Source organism: Homo sapiens, chromosome 10, assembly GCF_000001405.40.
Source record: "Homo sapiens chromosome 10, GRCh38.p14 Primary Assembly".
NCBI lineage: Eukaryota > Metazoa > Chordata > Mammalia > Primates > Hominidae > Homo > Homo sapiens.
In genome coordinates, this window is record NC_000010.11 from 54072813 (window position 1) to 54098198 (window position 25386).

Here is a 25386-nt window from a genome sequence, read left to right on the forward strand (position 1 = left end):
AGAGAGAAGCCATACTACCAGCATAAAGGACTGGTAAATACATGTTACATCTAGACCACAATTTTAGAATGAAGTCAGGGAGGAGAGGTTTGGTTGGCAGCTTAACTAGTGAGTATTTATATTGTCTTAAACAGATAATGCTGAAATACTGTTCTAAGAAACTTAAGTGTGACCCAGATTACATCTATTCCCTACCTGTCCAAACACATATTTATACATTATTGTCTAAGTAGGAAGATTGCATCAGGTATAAAAAATAAAGAAGCTTTTTTTTCTCTGTGCACATCTGAGTGTAGTGTGTAAAGATTATATATGTATGTGTGTATGTATGTATACACATTTTATGCAATCGTGCATGTTTTTATATAAATATATATTTTCAAAAATATCAGAAAGTATTTATAGTATACCTGTATACTATAGTATATATAATATAGAACTATAGATATAAATATTTATATATTTGTACATAAACATTTTGCATGTTACATATATTGTAAAGATTCACATATATGACTTAAATGTTTAAAGTTTTACTATTCTATAACCATACGTATTGTGTTCTAAAATATTAAATCAACTATTTTGAAATTCAAAGTTACTTTAACTTCACACATTTTCTCACGCATGTATTTTTGCTTTTGTTAAAGTTTCCTATTTGATTATGAAGTTAAATGCTCAACTTTTAAATGTTAATTGTTCATTTATATTGCCATGTTTCAAAGAAATTTAGGAAATAATATTGCTTCAAGACAAAAACAAAGATGCTAAGTCTTCTAGCAATCTGAAATTGTGAAATATTACAAGTGTTCAGACTGAAAGCCATAACTGAGTAATTCAATCCAGTAATTCAAGAGCATTTTACAGAAATCAAACCATGATGGAATCAAGTTACCTATTGTATCAATTAAGGAGGAAAATAATATTGCTGAACACACGGAATCTGGTCAGAAATATCTAGGCTACAGAATAACTTCACATTTTAAATGAAAAAAATTACTGATCACTGTTCGCATATTTATTTATATCTTTCACTGTGTTATTGGTTGATTAACACAGCTGCAATCCATAAGCCCTACTTCCTAGCTATTTTTCTACCCACTGTTGCTACTTACAGATAAGAATATCTAAAAGGAAATCTGCTAGATGGGGTTTCTGAAAAAACTTTGGTGCTTTGTTAAAATAAAGCAGGGGTGCAGACTCTTCTGGCATTCATCTTTATACTTTGTCTGGTATAGAGAATTGACGTCTAGAGTTGCAGAAGATGGGAATGAAAGTAGACAATAAAAATGGCAAAGCAGAAAATAGCCAGCAGGCATCCTCAATGGCACTGATGTGCACCTGCACCATCTCTTCACTGTCCACCTCTAGATTTTTTTTCTGTATTTGTTTGTACTATCTCAATTTTTAAATGTAAAATGTTGTGGTATTAAGTATATTCATATTCTTGTGCAACCATCATCACTATCCATCTCTAAAACTCTTTTAATCTAGCAAAACAAAAGCTCTATAACATTAAACAATAACTCCCCATTTCTCTTTTCTTTATCCTCTGGCAACCATCATTCTACTTTGAGTCTTTGTGATTTTTGACCATTCTAAGTACCAAAATATAAGTGGAATCATATGGAATTTAACATTTTGTGACTGGCTAATCTCACTTAGCATAATGTTCTCAAGATTTATCTGTGATATAGTGTATGTCATACTTTCTTCCATCTTAAGGCCGAATGATATTTCATTATATGTATATACCACATTTTGTTTATATATTACTCTACATAAACATGGAAAACTGGGTTGCTTTTACATCTTAGCTATTGTGAATAATGCTGCTATGAACATGGGAATACAAATATCTCTTGGAGACTCTGCTTTCAATTTTTTTGATATATAAATGAAAGTGTGATTGGGGGCTCATATAGTAATTCTATTTTTAATTTTTTGAGAAACTACCACTGTTTTCCACAGTGGTTGTACCATTTTACATTCTCACCAATAGTGCACAAGGGTTCCAATTTTTCCACATCCTCATCAACATGTTATGTTGTTGTTGTTGTTTTGTTTTGTTTTCTGTTTGTTTTTTATAATAGCGTCTCTACTGGGTGTGAGGTGGCACCTCATTGTGGCCTTGATTTGCATTTCCATAATATTTAGCAATGCTAAGTGTTTTTTCATATGTTTACTGGTCATTTATATATCTCCTTTGGAAAAGTGTCTATTCAAGTACTTTGCCAATTTTGAATCAGTTTGTTTATTTTTGTTTTCTTTAAAAAATTCTCGGGCTGGGCGTGGTGGCTCACACCTGTAATCCCAGCACTTTGGGAGGCTGAGGCAGGCAGATCACGAGGTCAGGAGATTGAGACCATCCTGGCTAACACAGTGAAACCCCATCTCTCCTAAAACTCCAAAAAAATAGCCAGGCATGGTGGCAGGTGCCTGTAGTCCCAGTTACTCGGGAGGCTGAGGCAGGAGAATGGCCTGAACCCGGGAGGCGGAGTTTGCAGTGAGCCGAGATCGCGCCACTGCACTCCAGCCTGGGTGACAGAGCAAAAATCCATCTCAAAAAATAAAAAAAAAGATCTATATATTTTGAATATTAATGACTTATCATATATATGATTTGCAAATATTTTCTCCCATTTTTATGTTGCTTTTTTATTCTGTGTCTTTGACACCCCTTTACAAAATCACAAATTCCAACTTGTCTATTTTTTGTTGTTGTTGTCTGTGTCTTTGGGGTCATAGCCAATAAATCCCTGACAAATGCAATGAAATGATGCTTTTGCCCTATGTTTTCTTCTAAGAGTTCTATAGACTCAGTTTTCATTTTAGGTCATGAATCACTTTTGAGTTTGTTTTTGCATATGATGTTAGATAAGGTCCAACTTCATTCGTTTGCATGTAGAATGATCATAGCACCCATCTTAAAAATTATCTGACCAATTAAGTGAAAGTTTATTTTTGGATTTTCTATTAAATTACATTGGCCTGTATTTCTGTTTTTATGCTAGTACTACTCTGTTTTGAGTATTGTAGCTTTGTAGTTAGTTTGAAATCAAGAAGTATAAGTTCTCCAGCTTTGTTATTTATTTTTCTTTTTGGCTATCTGGGGTCCCTTGAAATTTTAAAGATAAGTTTTAGAATAAGTTTGTTTTTTTAAAAAAATTATTTCTACAAATAACATCATTGGGATTTTAATAGAAATTGCAGTAAATCTGTAGATTGCTTGGGAGAGTATTAACATTTTAACAATATTAAGTCTTCCCATCCATGAACATGGGATATTTTTCAATTTAGTTATGTTTTATTTAATTTCTTTCCAAAATGTTTTGTAGTTTTCATTATACAAGTCTTTTATCTCCCTGGTTAAGTTAATTCCTGAGTATTTTATTCTTTTGGATACTATTGCAAATTGAATTGTTTTCTTAATTAACTCATTCATTTTCAATCTATGAAAATGCAAATGATTTTGTGTGCTGATTTTGTACTCTGATACTTTGCAAAATTTCTTAGTTCCAACATTTGTGTATGTGTGTGCAAACATGAAACATGTGTATGGAATCATTAAAGTTTTCTATATGCAAACTCATATCACCTCTAAACAGAGATAACTTTACTTCTTCCTTTTCAAATTGGATCTTTCTCTCTTTCTCTCTCTCTCTTTTCTTTCTTTTTTTGCCTAATAGCTCTGGTGAGGACCTCTGATACTATGTTGAACACAAATGGTAAAAGTAGACACCCTTGTTCTGAATCTTCAAAAAAAAATTAGAATCGAAAAAGTATAGTTTTATCTGTACCCCCGATAGCTAAAAAAAAAATAAATTACATGACACATGCAACTTATACAGATTTTTCAACAATCATTAACAAAGAAAATTTAGAAAAGGACAGTCAAATCAAACTTCCTCCATACTGTCTACAAATAAACTCACAATGACCAATAGAATGTGACCTCTTATCTCCATCATCCCCATTTTGAGATGGTAGAAAACGTGTATTCTCATGATCAAATTTTCAAACTCATCCTGGCAATTTGTTTCACACAAATTGCTTGTTAACATTTTCATTTCAATAAATTCCATCCATCTGTCTGTGTTTATTAAATATCTGTTTTAAACCACATGATTCTTAAGTTTAAAAGGTTAATTTTACTGTAATTACTAAATATTTAGATAAGAAAAGTGCTATTAAGACGTGAGAATATTATTGTTATATAATCACTTTTTTTCTTCAGGAACCCACTGTGTATGCCTACATATAAGTATATCCGTAAAATTATATAAATGATGGAATTAACTGAATAAACTTTTGTTTGAAATCTAAATGCTTTCTACTCTACTGATATTCTCATTACAAACTTTACAAATGAACACAAAATTTACTCAGAAAATCAGAATTTTAAAGCAAAATGAAACCTGAGTGATTATATGAGGAAACGAGGACCTAGAAATGCTAAGTGTCCTGTCCAAGGAGAATTAAAATATACAAATAAATTACTGAACAATGAACTAGAAAGAACAAAACTACTGATTTTAGCCCAGAACTTATTTTGGTTTTAAGTAGTCAAAAGTATTATTAGTAGATTGTGACTATTTTCCTTCCATCTGTTTCCTTGTCTAAGAAACTTTAAGGACAGACTTAAAATGTTCTAGCTAATATTACTGCCATTAGTTTCTGATTTATAATGTGGCATATTTCAAAGCTATGTATTATCCTTTCTTTTTTTCCTATTTTATTGGTTGACCTGAATGCTTTCTTAATTTCACTTCACTGTAATTATACCTCTTAATCTATGCTAAATAATTTCTCCTTCTCCTCCTTAGAATATTTTCTCTCACTTATTGCCTAGCCGAGTTACCCTCTAAACTTTCATCATAAGTCAAGTTCTTCAATTACTTCCTCCAGAAACTCTCACTGACTTCTTTACATACATCTAACACAGACATACTGTAATAATTTAGGGCAGGCTGGGCGCAGTGGCTCACGCCTGTAACCCCAGCACTTTGGGAGGCCAAGGAGGGTGGATCATCTGAGGTCAGGAGTTCGAGTCCAGCCTGGCCAACACGGTGAAACCCTGTCTCTACTAAAAATACAAAAATTAGCCAGGCGTGGTATCATATGCCTGTAATTCCAGCTACTTGGGAGGCTGAGGCAGGAGAATCACTTGAACCCGGGAGGCTGAGTTTGCAGTGAGCCGAGATGTTTCCATTGCTCTCCAGCCTGGGCAACAAGAGCGAAACTCCATCTCAAAAAATAATAATAATAATTAGGTGGATTGCTTATATAAAAATTAGCCATAGGTTTTATTTACTTTTCTATCATCTAAGTACCTATTATCCTCACTGTTTACTACAACTGTTCTGTATATTTTATTATATGTATAAGTATGTTTATTTATGTAATGTCTGAAAAATGTTAAATAGCTTACTATGGACAGACTGCAATTACCAAATTTAATTATTTCTATTTATCTCACTTTTAGTTAAGATGAGAAAACTATTCAGGTATCAATTTTATATTTTTATTATAATAAAATCTCAGAAATCCTCCTAAAATAAATGTGAAGATACATTTATTTTACATTTATTATTACAATAATAAATACATTATTATTGTATACTTTCAGCCAATGTAGTATATAGATTAAATAGATCATTTCAAGGAGCCAGGAGATATGTTGATATTTAAATTGAGTGAGCCTTGCTTATCAATCTGTAATGGGTTTGAAATTATTTCTAGACAATAGCACTGAGTTGACACATAAGCACCTGATTGAAAAAAAAAAGAGAATCACCTAACACATGGCATAGAAATGGTGAAAATAATTATTAACAATGGTAATATTACAATACATAGAAAGCGGGATGCTGGCAGTTGTGAATGAGATCGTTCAAATAACACAGACAAGTGATTTTAAAGCAGTTCAGAATGTCTAACAATTTTTTTTTTTTAAAGTGAGTTTTAGGTCCAAAGGAAATAGAATTTATCTTCTTTGGAATTATAAGCCCATTTAAATTATTTAGATAACCAAGAATTACTTATGATTCTTACTGCTACTTACAAATGCCTGTGGAAACAAGCAAATCACTTTCCTAAGTGCTTAAAGATATTTATCCACAAAATCCACTCTTCCTCCCTGACCCTTAAAAAAATGACGCTAAGTGTAACAGGTTCCAACATAATAAACTGCCAGAACACATTTCATGGTGCAGTGCAAATGACAGACACAATGGAATACCTGTTAGAATAAAGTAGATTTCATTTTCCCTACAAGTTAGGTGAGAATGCTGATCTCAAGTATCTGTTCTGTCAAGTCAAAGGTTGCAGCACAATAGCAAATTCAGAGTATAGGTGCATGTATTAATAGCCTGTTGAAGAAAAGAGCAACACTTCTAGTAATTATAAGAAGTTGCTCCAGATGAAAAACATTAATTCATGTCTGTGATACATTGTTTAAGACTCTCTCAGTTGCCTTAATACTATTTTTAAAACCCCTTCACAGGGAGCATACTCACCCCATCTGGCCTGCCATCTGAAGCTGTGATGATCAGAATGTAGCGATCAGTGCTTTCCCTGTCCAGTGCTTTCCCTAAGGTTAGAATCCCCGTGCTAGTGACAAAACAAACAAACAAATAAGACAAAAAGAGATATTATGTCACAAGGAGAGTCTTCTTAGTATAGTGAATTACTTTTGATAGCTTTTTTTCCCCTCTCAGTAATCACAGCTTGAGTATTTTAGATGTATAATACTAAGATTCATTCTGAAAATTGAAAACAGCTTTTAAGGCTGTCAAATTTCTTAGCAGTATCCATGAAACTGACACTGAGCTGATTTCCTACCTTCCAGGAAACAAAACATAACAAAACTGTGCTTAATTCATTCCAAGAAGAACAGTATCTATCTTGTTTTCGATTATTTCAAGAGAAAAGACTTCATTATTCCTTAGCAGTCTCAGAATTCTTTGAAACAAGGAATGGTTTCCTATAACTAATGTATATCACCTCCCAATTTATGTCATATGTATGTCCATTATGAAAATGCAAAAACCCATCTAAATGTTATCTCTGACAAACTCTATGGATAAAAGTTTTTCTTTTTTCTTACTTTTAAAATAACAGAGACCCATTGTACAAAATTAGAAAATAGAATTTTTTCAAATTACAGAAATTATGTTTTTTGTAATGTTTCTTTTTGTACTTTATTATAACCACATTTAAATATATGATTGTTTCAGAAGAGGAATCATTCTGCATATTTTACATTTTTTAAGAAAATATAATTGTATTAGAATTCATGTTCTCATTTTATAATTTGTTTAAAACCCCTTTTGTGGCTACACTAACAATTTTAGTATTTTGTTATTCTTTGGAAATTTAGCTGTTTCTTAATTTAACTGATGTATAATGGGAGATTAACAGCACTTGGGAAAATTATTGCACTTACAATATTTTTAATACCTACTCCTTATCTTTTCACTGCTCAGAATAAATGTTTCCAAATATTTAAGACTTTATTCACCCATGTAATTTATTTTATAACAGTTTGGCTTGCTCTCTAATGTAGGTTCTACATTTATTTCTTAAATTTTACATCTGATATTGTACACATTTTAATCGAGCCTAACAAGTATCCACTGTGTAGAAGAGTTTATCTGAATATAATAACACATTAAAATATATGTACCAAGTCCAAAACATAAATTGTTTCTAATGGATAAAATGCTTTCATTTTAAGGTAAGTGCTTTTATTGTAAAGAAAATTTAAACAATTCATATCACATATGGTAGTTGAGTACAGAGAGTCAAAGCCGATGAATCAAAATAAGAATCACAGTTACTCAATTTGCTTATTATGTTGTAATGGTTGACGTGGACTTTTTAAAAAGTTCTGAACATATGGCATGCCCATGAAAAACTGACTTTGCTTCCTGTACATTTTAAAAATGTTTTGTCAAAATAATTGAAAACCAGTTCCCAGAGCATGTTCACAACAATTAAGTTTGGACCAGCTTCCTACAGTACAGAAGGTCCAGATAATCCCATTTTAAAATTACATTAAATGAGAAAAGTAAGACATGTATTTCTTCTGAGGCTTATTCACAAGTATCTTAAGAAACAGGAAAGCTGAAAACCTAGCCATGGTATAATAAGAGAAAGAAAGAAAATTGAGTTACCATTTTCATTTTGTTTCTTCCCTCAGTTAATTATCTATATTCCTCCTTGTACATTAAATTAGAAAATTACTAAAAAGTATATTGTATATTTACGATGAATTACAAAACTCACGTGATAACTGAGTTGATTTCCTACCTTCCAGGAAACAAAACATAACAAAACTTCGCTTAATTCATTCCAGGAAGAAAAATATCTATCTTGTTTTTGATTATTTCAAGAGAAAAGATCCATTATTCCTCAGCATGTTCAGAATTCTTTGAGACAAGGAATGGTTTCTTATAAATAATCTATATCGCCTCCCAACTGTATATAGTATTTGGAATATATATGTATACTCTATATATACTATTTAGGATATATAATACTATATGTATTATTCCAAAAATACTATATGCCGTGAACAATATAGTATACAGTATATTCATACTTAGGGCCATTTTAAACACAAACAGCTAATTGTCTATGGTCTGGTGATTATTATAGAGGTAGTTTTTATGTAATACGCGGGCCTTGCGACTCAGTGTTGTAGGCAGTTGTGTGGTATATTTGGGCAATGCAGAAGGGGAGAAACACAGGCAGTGTATTTTGGGATTCATAGCTGAAAGACTAGTTTATGGGTTTACCTGTGCATCCTTTTATTAAATCCGAGAAATAGCTCACAAAAAGTCTTATTACCAGCTAGATGGAGGCTATCAGGCCAGGATACATTGGGGTACACTTAGTAATGCAATACACCTTATAAGTTCACATATTAAAAATACATAAGCTTCTTCAATTGATAAAGCATCAATAACACTGCTACTTATACAGGATTGAAAATACATTTCCCAGGAGTGATGTCAGTGGAAATGGAGAAGACAGCCCCAAGAGATGGTCTCGCCACAAAACGTCAAAAAATCACAATTAAGCAGGGACCTTCAACAGCAAATTTGATGAAACTCTGGAAAACAGTCACAGGTTTATAGCAACCAGATGAAGGCAGAATTTGTTTTAAAAAAAGGTAAATCAAATCTGGTAGAAGAACTCTGTGGCATTTTGACTTGTCTTTATCCTACCATCTCACTGGCTCAGAGTGGCCTTGAAAACATCAGTGAACATTCCCAGTGTGACACTATGGTCTTTGTTTCTGGAGGGAGCGAGCTATCCTTATTCATAAAGAACTGTGGGGGTCTATTCTAGTCTGTCTGGAGACTGCCTGAAGGAGTGATTCATGGCACTTATCTTTGTTTCATCAAACTTGGAAATCACTCAAAGCAGAAAAGCAGTGGGCATTCCTCAGAAATATTGTAAGGCAGGGGATAGCCCACAAACACTTGAGGCGTATAATAGAGTGCCAAAAACTTGCCAGGAAAGTCTGGGTAAATAGTTTCATGGAAAATTCAGGCACTCAAAAGTGTACTGGGGAATACAGAATAATAAATATAATTGAGAATTCATAAATATACCCACACATCTACAGTCATCTGATTTTCAACAAGAATGCCAAGACCATTCAAAAGGAAAGAATAGTCTTGTCAACAAACGGCACTGGAACAAATGGAAATCTATACGTAAAAGAATTAAGTTAGACTACTTCACTTCATACACAGCTATTACCTCAAAATGGATCAACAATTTTTCTAAACACAAGAATTGAAACCTGTAAACAACTCTTAGATAAAAACTAGAGGTAAATATTCATAATCTTGGATTTGGCCATGGATTCTTAGATATGACACCAGATGCACGGGAAGCAAAGGAAAAAATAGATATACTGAACTTCGTCAAAATAAAAAAAAAAAAACCTTTTGTGCATCAAGGGACATTATCGAGAAAGTAAAAAAAACAACGCATATAACTGGAGAAAATACTTACAAATCACATATCTGGTAAGAGTCTTATTTCCAGAATATATAAAGGATTACATAACTTAACATCAAAAAGAAATCCCAATTTAAAAATAGGCAAAAGACTCAAATACACATTTTTTCCAAAGAAGATATACAGGATATACAAATAATCAAAAAGCATATGAAAATATGTCATTAGTCATCAGGCAAATGCAAATCAAAACCCACAACCAAGTATCACTTCACACTCACTATGATAATTATATTTAAAAAAAGAAACAACCACCATTACTAACAACAACAACAAAAAATAATTGTTGGCAAAAATGGGAATAAATCAGAATCCTCATATATTTCTGGTGGGAATATAAAATGCTTCAATCACTGTGGAAAATATTTGACAGTTCCTCAAATGGTTAAAAACACATAATTACACTATTCCCTAGCAAATCTATTCAGTATATACTTAAAAAAGCCAAACACAGGTACTTAAATACACGTACATATATGTTCACAGCAGCGGTATTTGTAATACCGAAAGGTAGAAAAACAGCTTAAACGTCTATCAATTTATGAATAGGTAAACAAATTGTTGTATATGCATGTAATGGAATATTACGTAGCCATGAAAAGTAGGGACCTACTTGCACATGTTGCAAGACAGACGAATCTTGGAAACATTAGGCTACAAAAAAGAAGCTAGACACAAATAGTCACACATTGCATGATTCCATTTCTGTAGAATATTCAAAGTAGGTAACTTGATGAAGCCAGTACGCAGATTGGTGTTTGCCAGGGGCTAAGGGAAATAAGGAATAGGGAGCAATTGCTAAATGGGTTCAGGTTTCTATTTGGAGTGATGAAGCTATTTTAGAACTAGACAGAGTTGGTAGGTGCATGAGTTCTGAATCTCCTAAACAACACTGAATTGTTCACTTTAAAATGGTTAATTTTGTGCTATGTGAATTTTGCCTCAATTATATAAATTATATTGCAGAGTATTTTCCATCACCAAGCTTTTGGGCTACGTTCCTGAAACATATTATGCTTGGCATACTCAATTATTATAGAAAATAGGGTTTGCCTAACTATAAAAATGGTGTTCAAACATAATTTAAAAATTTGGCCAGGCGCGGTGGCTCACGCCTGTAATTCCAGTACTTTGGGTGGCTGAGGCAAGAGGATCACAAGGTCAGGAGATGGAGACCATCCATCCTGGCTAACACAGTGAAACACTGTCTCTCTCTTTTTTTTTAATGTGCACTTTTTTTTTTTTATTTTTTTGAGACAGAGTCTCTCTCTGTTGCCCAGGCTAGAGAGCAATGGCATGATCTCCGCTCACTGCAACCTCCACTTCCCAGGTTCAAGCGATTCTCCTGCCTCAGCCTCCTGAGTAGCTGGGATTACAGGTTCCCTGGGAGCTTATTTAAAAGCTCTGTGCCATCAGTTTTCCCTTCTGTCAAATGGGAAAGTGAAACCCCATCTCTACTAAAAATACAAAAAATTAGCCGGGTGTGGTGGTGGGTGCCTGTAGTCCCAGCTACTTGAGAGGCTGAGGGAGGAGAATCCCTTGAACCCAGGAGGCGGAGGTTGCAGTAAGCCGAGACCATACCACAGCTCTCCAGTCTGGGAGACAGAACAAGACTCCATCTCAAAAAATAAAAAAAATAAAAAAATAAAAATTATCACCTGTAGTCCCAGCTACTTGGGAGGCTGAGGTGGGAGGATCACGTAAGCCTAGACTTTTGAGACTAGCCTGGGCAACAGAGTAATACCCAGTCTTAAGAAAATTCAATGATGTAAATAGAAAGTAGCAGAGGATATCTACTTCCAAACAAAACAAGCTACCGAATTTAAAACCTGCTTCTATAAGTAACTGTTTTTCAAAATTCCGTTATTAGGAAATACCGATGCAGCATCATTATAAACTATTATCTCACATATTTCATGATGTATAGGCTTTGCTTATTTAAAATTTTGTTAAAAATTCTACAGCTTGTGACTGAACATTTACACTTGGAGGTGTCTGAGCCTTTGACAGATTTATCACATTGCTTTTGGGCACTGAGTTTCAGGCTTTACAATGATATTTAAAGAGATTAGAGTATACTTTAAAATGTACAGTTGCTTCAAGTTTGACATGGCATTTCATATTAAATAGCAATTAGCAATTAACAAAAACCTACTAATAAAGGGAGCTAGGTATTGACAGCAGTTTGGGGAAAAGATGATGGTGGCATGAACTAAGGTAGTAGAGTGAAGTGTGAGAAATAGTTTGATTTGGGTTTAATATTTTGAAAGTAGAGCTGAGCTGTCAGGGAATAAAATAAATATCTTTCTTATATATTATTTAATTTTCAATATAATCATAAAATTCAAACTGATATGAAAAATATAATTGAGCATTACATGTAATGTCAAAACAAATTAATCACCAAAGAAAAAATTAAAATGCAAGTGAAGAAAAAAAATTTTAATAGAATTTGGACCAGAGATGGAGATAATTTTTGAAATTCTCTTATTTAGCACTGATTTTAAGTGTTGGCATCACAGACCCCATGCTTCAGTGATAACAATCCATAAATATTTGAGAGATGGCATTTCCTCAACCTCCCTTAATAAATAACTATACCATTAGGCCATCATATTTATAAGGGAAGTTGCCATATATCTTATTTAAATGTGTACTTATTTGTGGATGATTGCTGAGTGAATATTTGCTAAATCATATGCCACTATCAAGACAGACACTATGAAAAGATACTAGAAAAATGCATTATATTAGAATCATACAGATATGGCCACTTAATACATGACACTGAATGATTTGTATTACCAATGTTTGTGATTTTTAAAAAACCAAGGCTTTTTCTTTAAAGACCCAGTTTCTTTCTTGGCTGTGTGACTAAGCCAATTTATTAAAATAATAATTCAGTACTTTGTAAAACCCTACTGACATTAAGATGATTATTCATTACTACTAATTTTTTAAAAGAAATACAAGAAAATTTTGGCATACTTTTATTTCATTAAAGGAAAGTAATGGTATTATAATGATGCGTATTGAGAGAATTTGCATTATAGCATAAAATAATATGGTATTTAAAGTATACAATAGACATGTAAATATTTTTTCATTTTGCTTTAAGATATAAAATATAACCCAAATAGCATATATTGAAGTGTCTGATGAGGTAGAACATTGTTTATTTTTTTAGCGTACCTGTCTTAGTCCATTTGTGTTGCTATAAAGGAATACTTATGGCTGGGTAATTTATAAAGAAAATAAGTTTATTTGTCTCACAGTTCTACAGGCTGTATAAGAAGCATACTGCCAGCATCTGCTTCTGGTGAGGGGCTGAGAGTACTTCCACTCATGGCCAAAGGTGAAGGGGTGCTGGTGTGTGCAGAGATCACATGGTGAGAAAGGAAGCAAGAAAGGAGGGGTGGTGCCAGGCTCCTTTTTTACAACCATTTGTTGTGGGAACTAATAAAGCAAGAACTCATTCATTACCTCTGGTAACAAGCCATTCATAAGCGGTCTGCCTCCATGACCCAAACAAATCCCATTAGGCCCCATCTCCAACATGAGGGATCGAATTTCAAAATGAGGTTTGGAGTGTCAAATATCCAAACTATAGCAGTACCTGGATTGTTCATATCCTTGAAAGTTATAGAGAAGTGGTAGTGCAAAGTTTTGAACATGAATCTCAGAAGTTTCAAAGAAGGTGGCAGTTGAAATGTCAGTTATTGTTCTCCATTTCAAATGCATTGAAATGTATTGCTAGTGGTTCAGGCTACTCTATAAATATCAATGAGAACAACAGCATTGAGGTGGTGGAAACAAAGTGACCATAGGATAGAAGGCAAAGGGCCCAGTGTACAGGACCCTGAATCAAGAATGATCATCAAAAGGGATCACACAACCATTATAGGGACATGTTCTGCTTTAGCTTTCCTGGAAGCAGTTTGTGTCTTAAGGAGATGTCTGTCCAGGTTGACCTAAGAGCTTTAACATTAAGAATCATGGTCAATTTAGACTAAAAGGATTTTGCATTGACATAATTTACACCTTTAAGAACCTCTGTGACCCAGCCATTATCTTTTTCATTCCAAATGCAGAGATGAGAGGAGCACTAGAGATATAGGAAAGCAGTGCATTTAGATAATTTATTTGGCAAAACTAGTAGCTCACTGGATTTCACAATCAGCAATTGAAAAATCTCTTGGCATCAAGGGAAAAACAGGAATAGAAATTCTTAAGAGACCTGGGCTTCCTGCTTACCAGAGCAGGTGAAAACTTCATTGTTGTCTTTTTCTTTTGTTGACAGCTTTGTTAACATTTTAATTCAGATATCATAAAATCCACCAATTTAAAGGGTACAATTCAATGGTTTTTAGCATAATCGCAGAGTTGTTCAATCATCACTGTAATCAATTTTAGAACATTTTCAACACCATATCTATTAACAGTCACTCCCCATTCTCTCCCACTCCTCATTTTCAGGCAATCATTGATCAACTTTTTATCTTATAGATGTGCCTATTATGAAAATTTTATAGAAATGAAATAATATAATACGTGCTCTTTTTGCAACTGACTTATTTCACTTAGCATAATATTTTCAAGGTTCATACATGTTGTAGCATGTTTCAGTACCTCATTACCTTTTATTGATGAGTAATATTATATTATTACAGACAGGCAACATTTTGTTTATTCCTTCCTCTGTAGATGGATATTTGACTTGTTTCCACTTTTGTACCATTGTAAATAATTCTTTTATGAACTTTCTTTGTGCAAACTATTATGTAGATGCACGTCTTCATTTCTCTTGCATATGAGCAGAATGCTGGCTTATGCGGTAATTCTGTTTACCATTTGGAGAAAAGGCCAGTTCTCCAAAGTGTAGTCATAGTTTGAATCCATGTCCTTGCCCAAATCTCCTGTCAAATTGTCACCAATGTAGGAGATAGGACCTGCTGGAAGGTGATTGGCTCATGGGGGCAGTTTCTCATGAATGGTTGAGCACCACCCTCCTTGGTCCTGCTCTCTTGATAGAGTTCAGGAGATCTGCCTGTTTAAAAGTGCGTGGCACTTCCCCTCCCTCTCTCTTCCTCCTGCTCAGGCCATGTGAAGCGCTGACTCCCCGCTTTGCCTTCAGTCATGACTTTTAAGTTTCCTGAGGCTTCCCCAGAAGCAGAGCAGGTGCCAGCATCATGCTTCCTGTATAGCCTGCAGAACCGTGAGGCAATTCAACCTCTTTTCATTACAAAATACTCAGTCTCAAGCACTTCTTTATAGCAGTGCAAAAACGAACTCACACATGCACATTTTACATGGCCACATAAATTTACGCAGATTTCAGTATCTCCACATTCTTAGTCATACCTGGTTTTGCCTTTCTTTATCACTACAGACACAAAGTATGTATGAAGTCAAATCTCTTTACAGTTTTAAATTGCATTTCTCTAATGACAAATGAACAGTGATCGTGATCATATTTCCATGTGCTTGTTGGCCATTCACATATCCTTTTTTAAAGAAATATCTATTCAAATATTTTGCCCATTTTAATTAGATTATTTCTCTTTATTAAGTTGTAACAGTTCTTTATGTATTCTTGAGACATGTTTCACACCATATACATTATTTTAAAATATTTTCTCTGATTGTAGGTTGTTTCTCACTTTAGGATGGTGCTCCTTGAAATACATTTTTAAAAATTGACGAGACCCAATTTATCAATTTTATCGTTAATCTTTGTGCATTTTGTGTCATATCTCAAAATGTACTGACTAATCCAAATAATGAAGATTTACTTCTGTATTTTCTTCTATGTGGAATGCAGTTTTATCTCATATATTGCAATTTATGATCCACTTTGAGTTCATTTTTGTGAATGATGTGAGATAAAAATTGAAATTCATTCTCTTGCATATTGTCCCAGCTTCATTTGTTGAAACAAAGTTCTTTCCTGATTGGATTATCTTGACCCCTTTTTGAAAATCAATTGACCATAAATACTAGAGTTATTTCTGGATTCTTAAGTCTGTCCAGGTGCTTATATATCTATCTTTATGCTAATACTACACAGCCTTGCTTAAAGTTTTTAACATTTTTATTTTCTTTAATGATGATTGTAAATTGTAGCTAATTTTTGATTTCTACATCCCTATGAGATAAAAATGAAAACAGTTAAGGCTTTTTATTTTTCAAATAGAAGTTTACTTATCTGTGGAAAACACTGTTCTTGTCTATAGTTTCCCAGGCATTACTAACTCATGTTTGTAAAATTCTATTTAACGTGAAATTTCAGGTATTTCTGGGAAGACTAATTGACCAGCACATGGTTCTCTTGTTTTGGCATTATGCCCCACATGTTCCTGAGTCTGATGTGGCAATGTATTCATTTGTCAAAGTTTTAACTTTATAATCATTGGCCAAGTTTACATTTCTATTCCTTCTGAAAGTAAAACTATTCACAGGTACACAGGAAATATCAGGGAAGAGCCAAGCTCTTTAGAAACCAGCCACATGTGACAGCAGAACAGCTACCTTGCTATTGCAAAAGGGAAGCATACAGTCTCTCTGAAGCCCTAAATGCCTCCTTTTAATGCCTGCTCCCAGTTTTCTCAATAGTTATCATTAGCAATATCTCAGATGTATTCAGAGAGATAAGTAGAATGACACTGATCTAGACCTCAAAGAAGTTTGGCATGAACACGTATTTTATTTCATTGTGCTTTTTTTCTTAAATATACCTATGTTAATCTGAAATTGAAGGATGTGTTTGTAACACATCTTGCCTACAAGCCTCCCTTTGAATACACAGTTTGGTGCTAAGTAACCCTTTGTAGTAATGTCCTTGTCATTATCAGTAGCTGACAACATTAAAAGGATCTAATTAATCCCAGTTGTGCCTTCCAATGAAATGTTTCCACCTCAGTAGATTTTACCTAGTAAAAATGTTAAAAATAAACAGTCTCCTGGGTAATATTTCTGGGCTCAGAATTATCCTCCCAGCTACCATTAGCATTCATAGAAAACAGAAAGGGAAGTACAACTACAAACAGCTGAAAGCCTCTGATTAGAAGTCTGCTTTCTTACTAACAGTACGTTGCTGTACATTTTTTTAAAGTAGGAAATCATTTTTAACTTACGTTTCTGAAAGATTAAAAACTCTCTGAGGATCTCCATTCTCAATGGCATATGTTATTGAGTCTCCCTCTCGATCAGTTGCCTTCAGAGAGAAAACATAATTCAATTATCAAGTAATTGATATGGCGCCCACTCATTACAGAGTAATATAAAAGCTTGAAACTAATAGCACAGAATGTCCATGACACTGTTAAAGAATAAAGATTAAAGCATGGCCTAATGGCAAGGTGTAAAATCAAACATTTCGTATCTGATCCATTTCTGAATATGTAATCCTACCTGATGTGGAAATAATCATTTTCCCAAGGTTTACTTATTTAATTAACTTAATTAATGAATTTAATTTCAATGTCTGTTTATAATTTAAATAAAAGCTGCTGGCTGGGCACAGTGGCTCAAGCCTGTAATCCTAGCACTTTGGGAGGCCAAGGTGGGCGGATTACCTGAGATCAGGAGTTCAAGACTAGCCTGGCCAACATGGTGAAATCCTGTCTCTACCAAAAACACAAGAAGTTACCCGGGTGCAGTGGTGCACACCTGTAACCCCAGCTACTTGGGAGGCTGAGGCAGGAGAATTGCTTGAACCCGGGAGGCAGATGTTTCAATGAGCTGAGATCATGCCACTGCACTCCAGCCTGGGCAACAGAGCAAGATCTTGTCTCAAAAAAAAAAAAAAAAAAAGTGCTAAACTATGTTTACAGTGTCGATAAAGTGTTTAATGTATATTCTTTTCTTTTTCTGTTCAGAATATATCAAGACAATAATTCAAATCAGTCTAACTTTCTGGTTAAAAATCCTGAATTTATAGCCACAAAGCATGACTTCAAAACCGGGCTCCAATTGTCCTATGTGATTATTTCTGTGTATCCATTTCTAAAACGAGGACTATACAACAATACAAATGTTAATAGATGTTGAGAGGTTTAATTGAAATAATATATATCAAGGCACATAGACTAATATCTGGTACATTGTAAGCTTTCAATAAATATTAACCTTTTTGTTGGTTTTTCTTCCCTTCAACACCCAAGTCGGAGAAGAAAACATATAGTTTGACTTTGAGTTCCGAGTTTCTCTTGACCAAAATAAAGATGCTCTTGTTTTATGGCACTGAGGTCTGGAGTTTTACCTTAAAAAACATCAAATCAGTTCTTTTTCCAGTGAGTCATTCGATCCTCTTATAAAAGACATGGATAAAGAAAGAAATTTGGATGCTATCAGAGAGTTGACAGAATGATCTGCCTAAGCATGATGCTACAGGGGGGGATATATCTGATAAAGGTTCAGATGTATTTTATTTTTAGGTGACTAGCCTGGCAGAAACACCAGCCTCTCCACAGACAGGAACTGCCCTGGAGTCAGCAGGATTCTGAGAGAGGAATAAGTATGTGAGTTTCTGTCAGTGACTACATAATAACTGTCCCAGCCATAAGAGGCTGAGTGTGAAATTCCCTGTCCAGACAGGCAGGAACGTATTGTTCTTAGTGGTAGATCAGTTGGCTTTGACATGGATTACACAGTCCTGCTCACAGAACGTCCTTATCAGCTACCACAATGGATTGATGGCCAGAAGCCTCTCTTGGACCACAAAAACTACAGAATCAAGGGAAACTGAAAATAATATTTCAGTCAGTAATAAACTACTGAATATTGACTATGTGCTAGGTTCTGTAAGAAAATCTTTGCAAGATTATTTAATCTGTCTCTCATAAAAGTGATATACTTCCTTCGCATGGCTCCTATGACATCATATTGTCCTGCTTTCAATCCTCACATTATCAATGGTAGTTCCTCATTTTCCTTTGCTGATTTCTCCTCATTTTATAAGACTTATTTTATATTGGATTGTTCCAAAGGTTGGTCCTTGAACTTCACTTATTTAGTCAACTCATTCAACAGTGTAGCTATAAATACTGTCTATCTGCTGAAGACGGTCATATCTCTAGGCTAGCCCTTTCCTCTGGATTTCAGATGTGTATCCAATTGCCTACATGGATCCACATTAGATGAATAATAATAAGCCTCCCCAATTTAAAAGGTTAAAAGCCCCAAATCTAGATCTCCTTTCCATCTTGACGTACCTCAAAAAATAAAAGAAATTCAAACAATAATCTATTGTTTTCACTGCTTCATCATCTCAGTAAGTACCTGCAACTCCATCCTCCTACTTTCTCAGGGCTCATAGCTACACTTTGAGGGCTCACTCTTACATTCCAATGCAACCCATCAGCAGATCCCACCAGATTTACCTAAAATATCTGCTGTATCTGGCTGTGTCTGAATTTCTTCTCTGCCACCACCTTCCTCATGGATTATGGTAGTAACTATTTTACTAACGTGTTGCTTCTTCCCTTGTATCCTCACAATAGTCAATTTTCAATTCAGCAGACAAAAGTACTTGTTTTTCCAGGCCAATTCTTTTATTTCTTTGGGGTAAAGTCTATTGCTTTCTCCCCCAGCTCCCCACCCTCCCCATGCCATACACACTAAAATAAAATGGAATCAAAAAAAGTAAATGAAGAAGAAAGTAATAAATTAGCCAGGGTAAAATATTTTTGAAACATCCCATGTTAGTCAAAATCCAAAATTTTATATTTCATTGAGTTAGTCATAATGGAAGCCTAGGAGTAGAAAAAAAAGAAGCAAACAAATTTCTAAGAATACACTCAATAAAATGGATAGTAGACGCTTGATATTTTTCCCTTGCATTCTGTTCTTTGCTAGATAGGAACCACAAATAATGATACTCAGCTAACATTTTGAAGAATCAGAGAATTATATCTGGAGACTATATCTTAACCCCAAAAAGCTTACAGTGAACTTTTTCTGTTGTTTTTCTCTCGGTCAATAAATTTTTCTTATTATGTTGTTATAGATATGATCATGTTCTTTTGGTTTGTTTATTGATATGTGGTTGCTGTTTTAATTTTTTTCTTGAGAAACATTTTATAATCTTGTGTTTCATAAAAGCCAGAAGAAATGCATTCTGAAACAAGATAGCTTCATGTAAACAATTTTAAGACCAGATTAATATCGAATCTTTTATTATATCAGATCTACTCTAATATTTAATATCCTTTATGTAAGATGAGAACACTGTATTTATATTTATTATTTTTATGTTAATTCCTTTCAATCCCAGAGGTAGCTTGAAATATTTCTTCAGTTTTATTTGACCACTCAAATACCTCAGTCTTTTAAGGATTGTGAATGTCAACAATTTGCCTACTTCATTCTTATGTGAGGTTATGCCCATATTGGAAACTTTGAAGACTTAGGATTTAAAAGAAAATTCTTATTTGATTCCTTTCTTCATTTTTATCTTTTCACACAATCCTTTATTGGTGTTCCAGGGTCGAGGGTGGTATAATAATTAGGAAGTATTTATAGTTTTTCAGCCAAGAAAGCAAAAGGAAATGGTGTAATCTGTATCAAAGTTCTGCAATCTATGCATTACATGAGTTAGCACTTGTATAGACAATATCATCTTTCTTTGTCAATGTCCAAAGGTGAGAAATAATCCATAAAAAGAAAAATTGGAAATATCAACAGAAGCATTTACCCTTCAAGTATTAGGATTTGATTATGTGTGTATATGTGCCCTAAACATATTTCTATCAGCAATATTTAAATGTTTTCTATATATAAATCTAACCAGCCATCTCAAAATAATTGCTTATAATGTGTCAGAAACTATATTAAAATTTTGCATGTCTTGTCTCATTTAAACCTAATAGTAACTTTACTGGTAAATAGAAAATGCATATGACTTCAATTATATTACTATTTCTGCCATCATTCCAACCAGATTTCTCTGTACTTTAATTAATTGAAAGATGCATCTTTTTTATCTAGAGATAGTAATAACTGTATCATCTTGAAAATGGGAGCATAGTGTTATTCAGTATTTTCCATAATATAAGAGATATAAATTGCTTCTTTTTAGTGAAAAAACATTTTATGTGCTTATTTTTGATAAATCAAGTCATATCCGAGTCCCTTCTTCAAAGCCTGAGAAAAGTATGACAGCAGTTATCTTTCTGGGGCTTATTTTGAGTTTAACGGGGGAGATTCTGGAGCCAGCTACCTGGATTCAGCCTCAGCTATACTATCTCTTCTCAGACAATGCACTCAAGTACAAAATGAGAATACTACTACTACTACTTAATCACTCATTAATTCAACAAATATTTATTGAGCATCTACGCTGTGTTAGGCACTGAGGCTGCAGCAGTAAACCACACAGACAAAAATCCTGCCCTTATACAATTTACATGGTAGTGGAGGAAAATGAAGTTAAAAATTAATTAGAATATTTTGTTTTCAGATCTTTATACGCGTTGCTCAACTACAAAATATTTCACAAAGGACATATATGGAGAGCAGGGTGAGGATTTACACTTATAGAAGTGATCATGACAGACTTACTGAAAATGTGAAATTTTGGCAAATGCTTGTAAAAGGTGAAAGAGTAAGTCACGTGGGGAAGAACATTCCAGGAAGAGGGCAGAGCAAGTGATAAAGGCCGTGAGGTGAAAACAGGCCTGGTGAGTTTCAAGAACAACAACGAGGTTGTCAGGTCTGGAGGCAAGCAGCATGTGGAAGAGGAGCTCCTCAGTGTACTTCGACCACTTTAATACCTCAGGTTAAACGAATAAATGATGTGTATTTTGGATAGCTGGCAAGTAATGCACTTTAGCCACTGGTTTGCTAATATATGGTTAATAACATGGTTAAGATTAAAGCCAATCTTTCCTTTAATTTTTATTTAATTTAATATAATTTTAATTTTGCCTGAAGAACAAATGATTCCTTTAAAAATCAAAGCAATTACTCTTTCCAGTCCACTCAACCAGATTACTTGCAGCATCTGACTTAGAGTCCCTGATTTTTCAGAAGCACCAATAGGGAAACAAAAGTATTTATCCAAGGAAGCAGTGTTCTTAGACACTGGCAAATGGAAAATTTGGAAAAGAAAACAAATTTTCTCTAAACTAATCTTCTGTTCATGTTAAAGATGAATACAGCCATCAAATACCGTCTGATAGAGTGCATTTTATGTGCAAGGAATGATTCTACACATTTCACAGGACATTAAGACAAAGTAACTGCCCTTAGGGATTCTAAAATAGATAAAAATCAATGGATTTGGATGATTTTCTCACTTAGGCAAACAAGTTCTGATTTATGTTATTAAACCACTTGAGAGCAACAAATAAAGCTTTCAATTCAGTACAGCAGTGTTTCAAAAAATGTATACATTCATTCCTGGTATTACATTTTTTGGCCTTTAACAAAATGTTATAATATTTAAATAAAAATTAATGAATATATTTTATTCATGTCAAGTACTGTTATTTTGTCATTCATAATGATAATATAAAATGTTATTTTGAAGTAAGTGTAAGTAAAAGGTCAGTTCATTAAATATTCCAAACAATATAAAATGAATAATATTATATAGAATATACATATAACATATATGAAACTTGGAAATGTAGCTAAATCTACAATGACAAAAATATAAATATGCTCAAAAATAAAAGAATGTTGGAAAACTGCACACAGGAGAGCCATAAAACAGCTCTTTTTCTTACAATATTGGTATGGATTAATGATCTTTTGCCCAGGAAGCAAAATAAAATGCCTTATGCTAAGAAGGCATAGCAGAATCACTGCTGGTAGTGTTGAAAATAAATGGCATTTGGAAGTGAGCATAAATTTATTTGTCACATCCAGAGAAGTGTCTGTAAATTAAGAAGTCCTTAATAGGAAAAATACCTAGACTTCCGTTAGATTTAGGGATACTCTATGAAGGCTTAGTCTTAAAAAAATTTTGTTGTACAAAATGGGTAACCTTGGAATACAAAGAGATTTAATCAATTCTAAAATAAGCCTGCAATTCTAATTTTGTCTAGGGCTCAAGGAACAATCAACAAAATAAACTTAGAACTAATGTAAATATTCAAAATGACGCATCCAAATAATGGTTACCATTATGTATTAAGCACTTTTAATATCCCATCTCATTTAATCCTCAAAACAATCTTCTCTGGAGAGCACTACAATCCCTATTTTACACATAATAAAATCTTAAGCTTAAAAATTAAATAATTTGCCAAAGTTTACAAACTATAGAATCATAATTCATATTCTATGCCTTTTGAAACTCATTTTCTATCACTAGCAAAGTCCCCTATGTCCTAAACTTATCTCGAGTTTCCCTTCACCTGCTTGCTTGAACCAACACCAAGTTCTTCTTAAGAACCCTAATTTCCCAGTATCCCTTTTGATTGGTGAGCCTCAGAGTAGCCTTCTTGTTTCTCAATGTCACTGCCAGATTATTCTTCTGGAAATGCATCAGCTTTAATTCTTATACCATAAGCATTATACTGCATTAACTGCTACTCTTCATTGTTAAAGTCATACTCTACACTATTTATCATACTTCCTGTTTTTTGCTCATTGTCAGTCTCTCTCTTTGCCTGTCATTGCTGTCATTGTCAACTTAATCCAATATCAAAGTTTCAAATAATATGTAAAATGCTAATGACTTCAAAATTGTATTTCAGTTCTGGGGCTGAGAGATTCAAGATCATGGCACTAGCAGATCCCATGCACCTTTTGTGGTCTGCAGACAGCTGTCTTCTCATTCTACACTTACATAGTAGAAACAGAGAGCTCTGGTTTCTTCATTCCCCATAAGGGCACTGAATGCCATTCATGAGGACTCCACTCTCATAGCCTAAGTATCTCTAACTACCAAATGTCCTACTTCTAAATACCATCACGTTGGGGATTTTGGCTTCAATATGTGAATTTTGGGGGAACACAAACATTCAGTCCATAGCAGATGTCAAAAAGTCTTTTCAAATACAGTATGGCCAATATTGAATTACTCTTTCTCTAACAGTCTTTTAATTTTGGCTAATGACAAATCAATGTTTCCAGTTACTCAAGCTGTATCTTAATACCTATTCTTAACTTCTATCTCCCCTTCTATATCCAATTCATTAACAAATCATGTAGTTTTTAACCACCAAAATATAACCAGATTGAAATGACTTCTCATTATTTCTGGAAAGATCACTCCAGGCCTAGAATGTGCTGACAGAGCATATCAACAACTCTCCATAATTTTTCCCAGGCTTCTTCCACAGACCATTTTCAATGCAGCATCCAGGATTATCCTTTGTTAAATTTGGTTGATTATGTCACTGCTATACTCAAATTTTTAACTGTACCTAATTTCGTGCAGAGTAATTATATCTATCCCTCTCCTATTACTGAATGATTTCATCTCTACTACTGTCTGTTTCTTTTACTTTACTCTGTAAGGAGGAGTATTTTTCTTCTTCCTTAAACATATCAGGTGTGTCTAAACTTCGGGGTCTTACCTTTGCACCTGAAATACTTTTCCTCAGATACAACCATGGCTCATCCTCTCACCTTATTCAACTATTTGCTGTAAGGTCACTTTCTTTGTGAAATAATCACTATCAAATTGTATTTTCCCATGCACTTCCTCTCTAGCTTTCCTTCTTTCATTTTCCCCATAACATCTTCTAAAATTCCACATAACTCACATATATTTTGTTAATTTTCTTCTCTATTAGAATGGAACCTTCATAAAAGCAGAAATTTTGTCTTTTTTATTTACTATTATATCCTAGCATTTTTAGTTGTGACACCATAAGAAGTTAATATTTACTTGTCATTTGGTCCTTGCAAAGTTATAAGCCTTAATGATTACATTATAATGAGAAAAATGAATGAAAGAATTTTGGAAAAATGAAAAAGGAAGGTATTAAGTGGACACAGGTCTCTCCCTGCTCCTGTTTTCACTGGGAGGCAGGAAAATGCACACCTCAGGAGGGGAGGGCATGGGACATTCTGGCTTCTCCCTGATTTATTAGACTGCAAGGATAAACTAAGTCCAGGAAACTCAGTCAGAGCTCTGTTCTGTATATGCACATTCTTCCTCAGTATCATAAAGGGCCTTCCTTTGTACTTCCTATGACTGGGAGCCTAACTTTAATATACTGAAGGAAGTACAGCATTTCAATTGTATCTGGTACTTGAAGCAACTGAATTTACAGTAAAACAAAACAAAACAAACAAAAAAAGAAACCCCACATGCTTTTTACCTATTGTATATACTCTGTGTGTCTCTATTAATTGCTTCCAAACTTGACAGAGAAAATAAAGTTGTGTGTG

General features: G+C 33.9%; 1 protein-coding gene across 20 annotated transcripts in view; it reads right to left on the minus strand.

The window, feature by feature from the left end:
* Positions 1–25386, minus strand: part of PCDH15 (protocadherin related 15) — a 1825172-nt gene that overhangs the window by 270042 nt on the left and 1529744 nt on the right. For 19 of the 20 annotated variants that reach the window (XM_047425663.1, NM_001354420.2, NM_001354429.2 and 16 more), the window contains 2 exons: positions 17172–17251; positions 6519–6612 (listed from right to left, as the gene is read on the minus strand). In XM_047425663.1, coding sequence (XP_047281619.1) covers positions 6519–6612; positions 17172–17251 — 174 coding nt within the window. The remainder of the gene's footprint in view (positions 1–6518; positions 6613–17171; positions 17252–25386) is intronic. The other variant, NM_001142765.2, reaches the window with a different exon arrangement.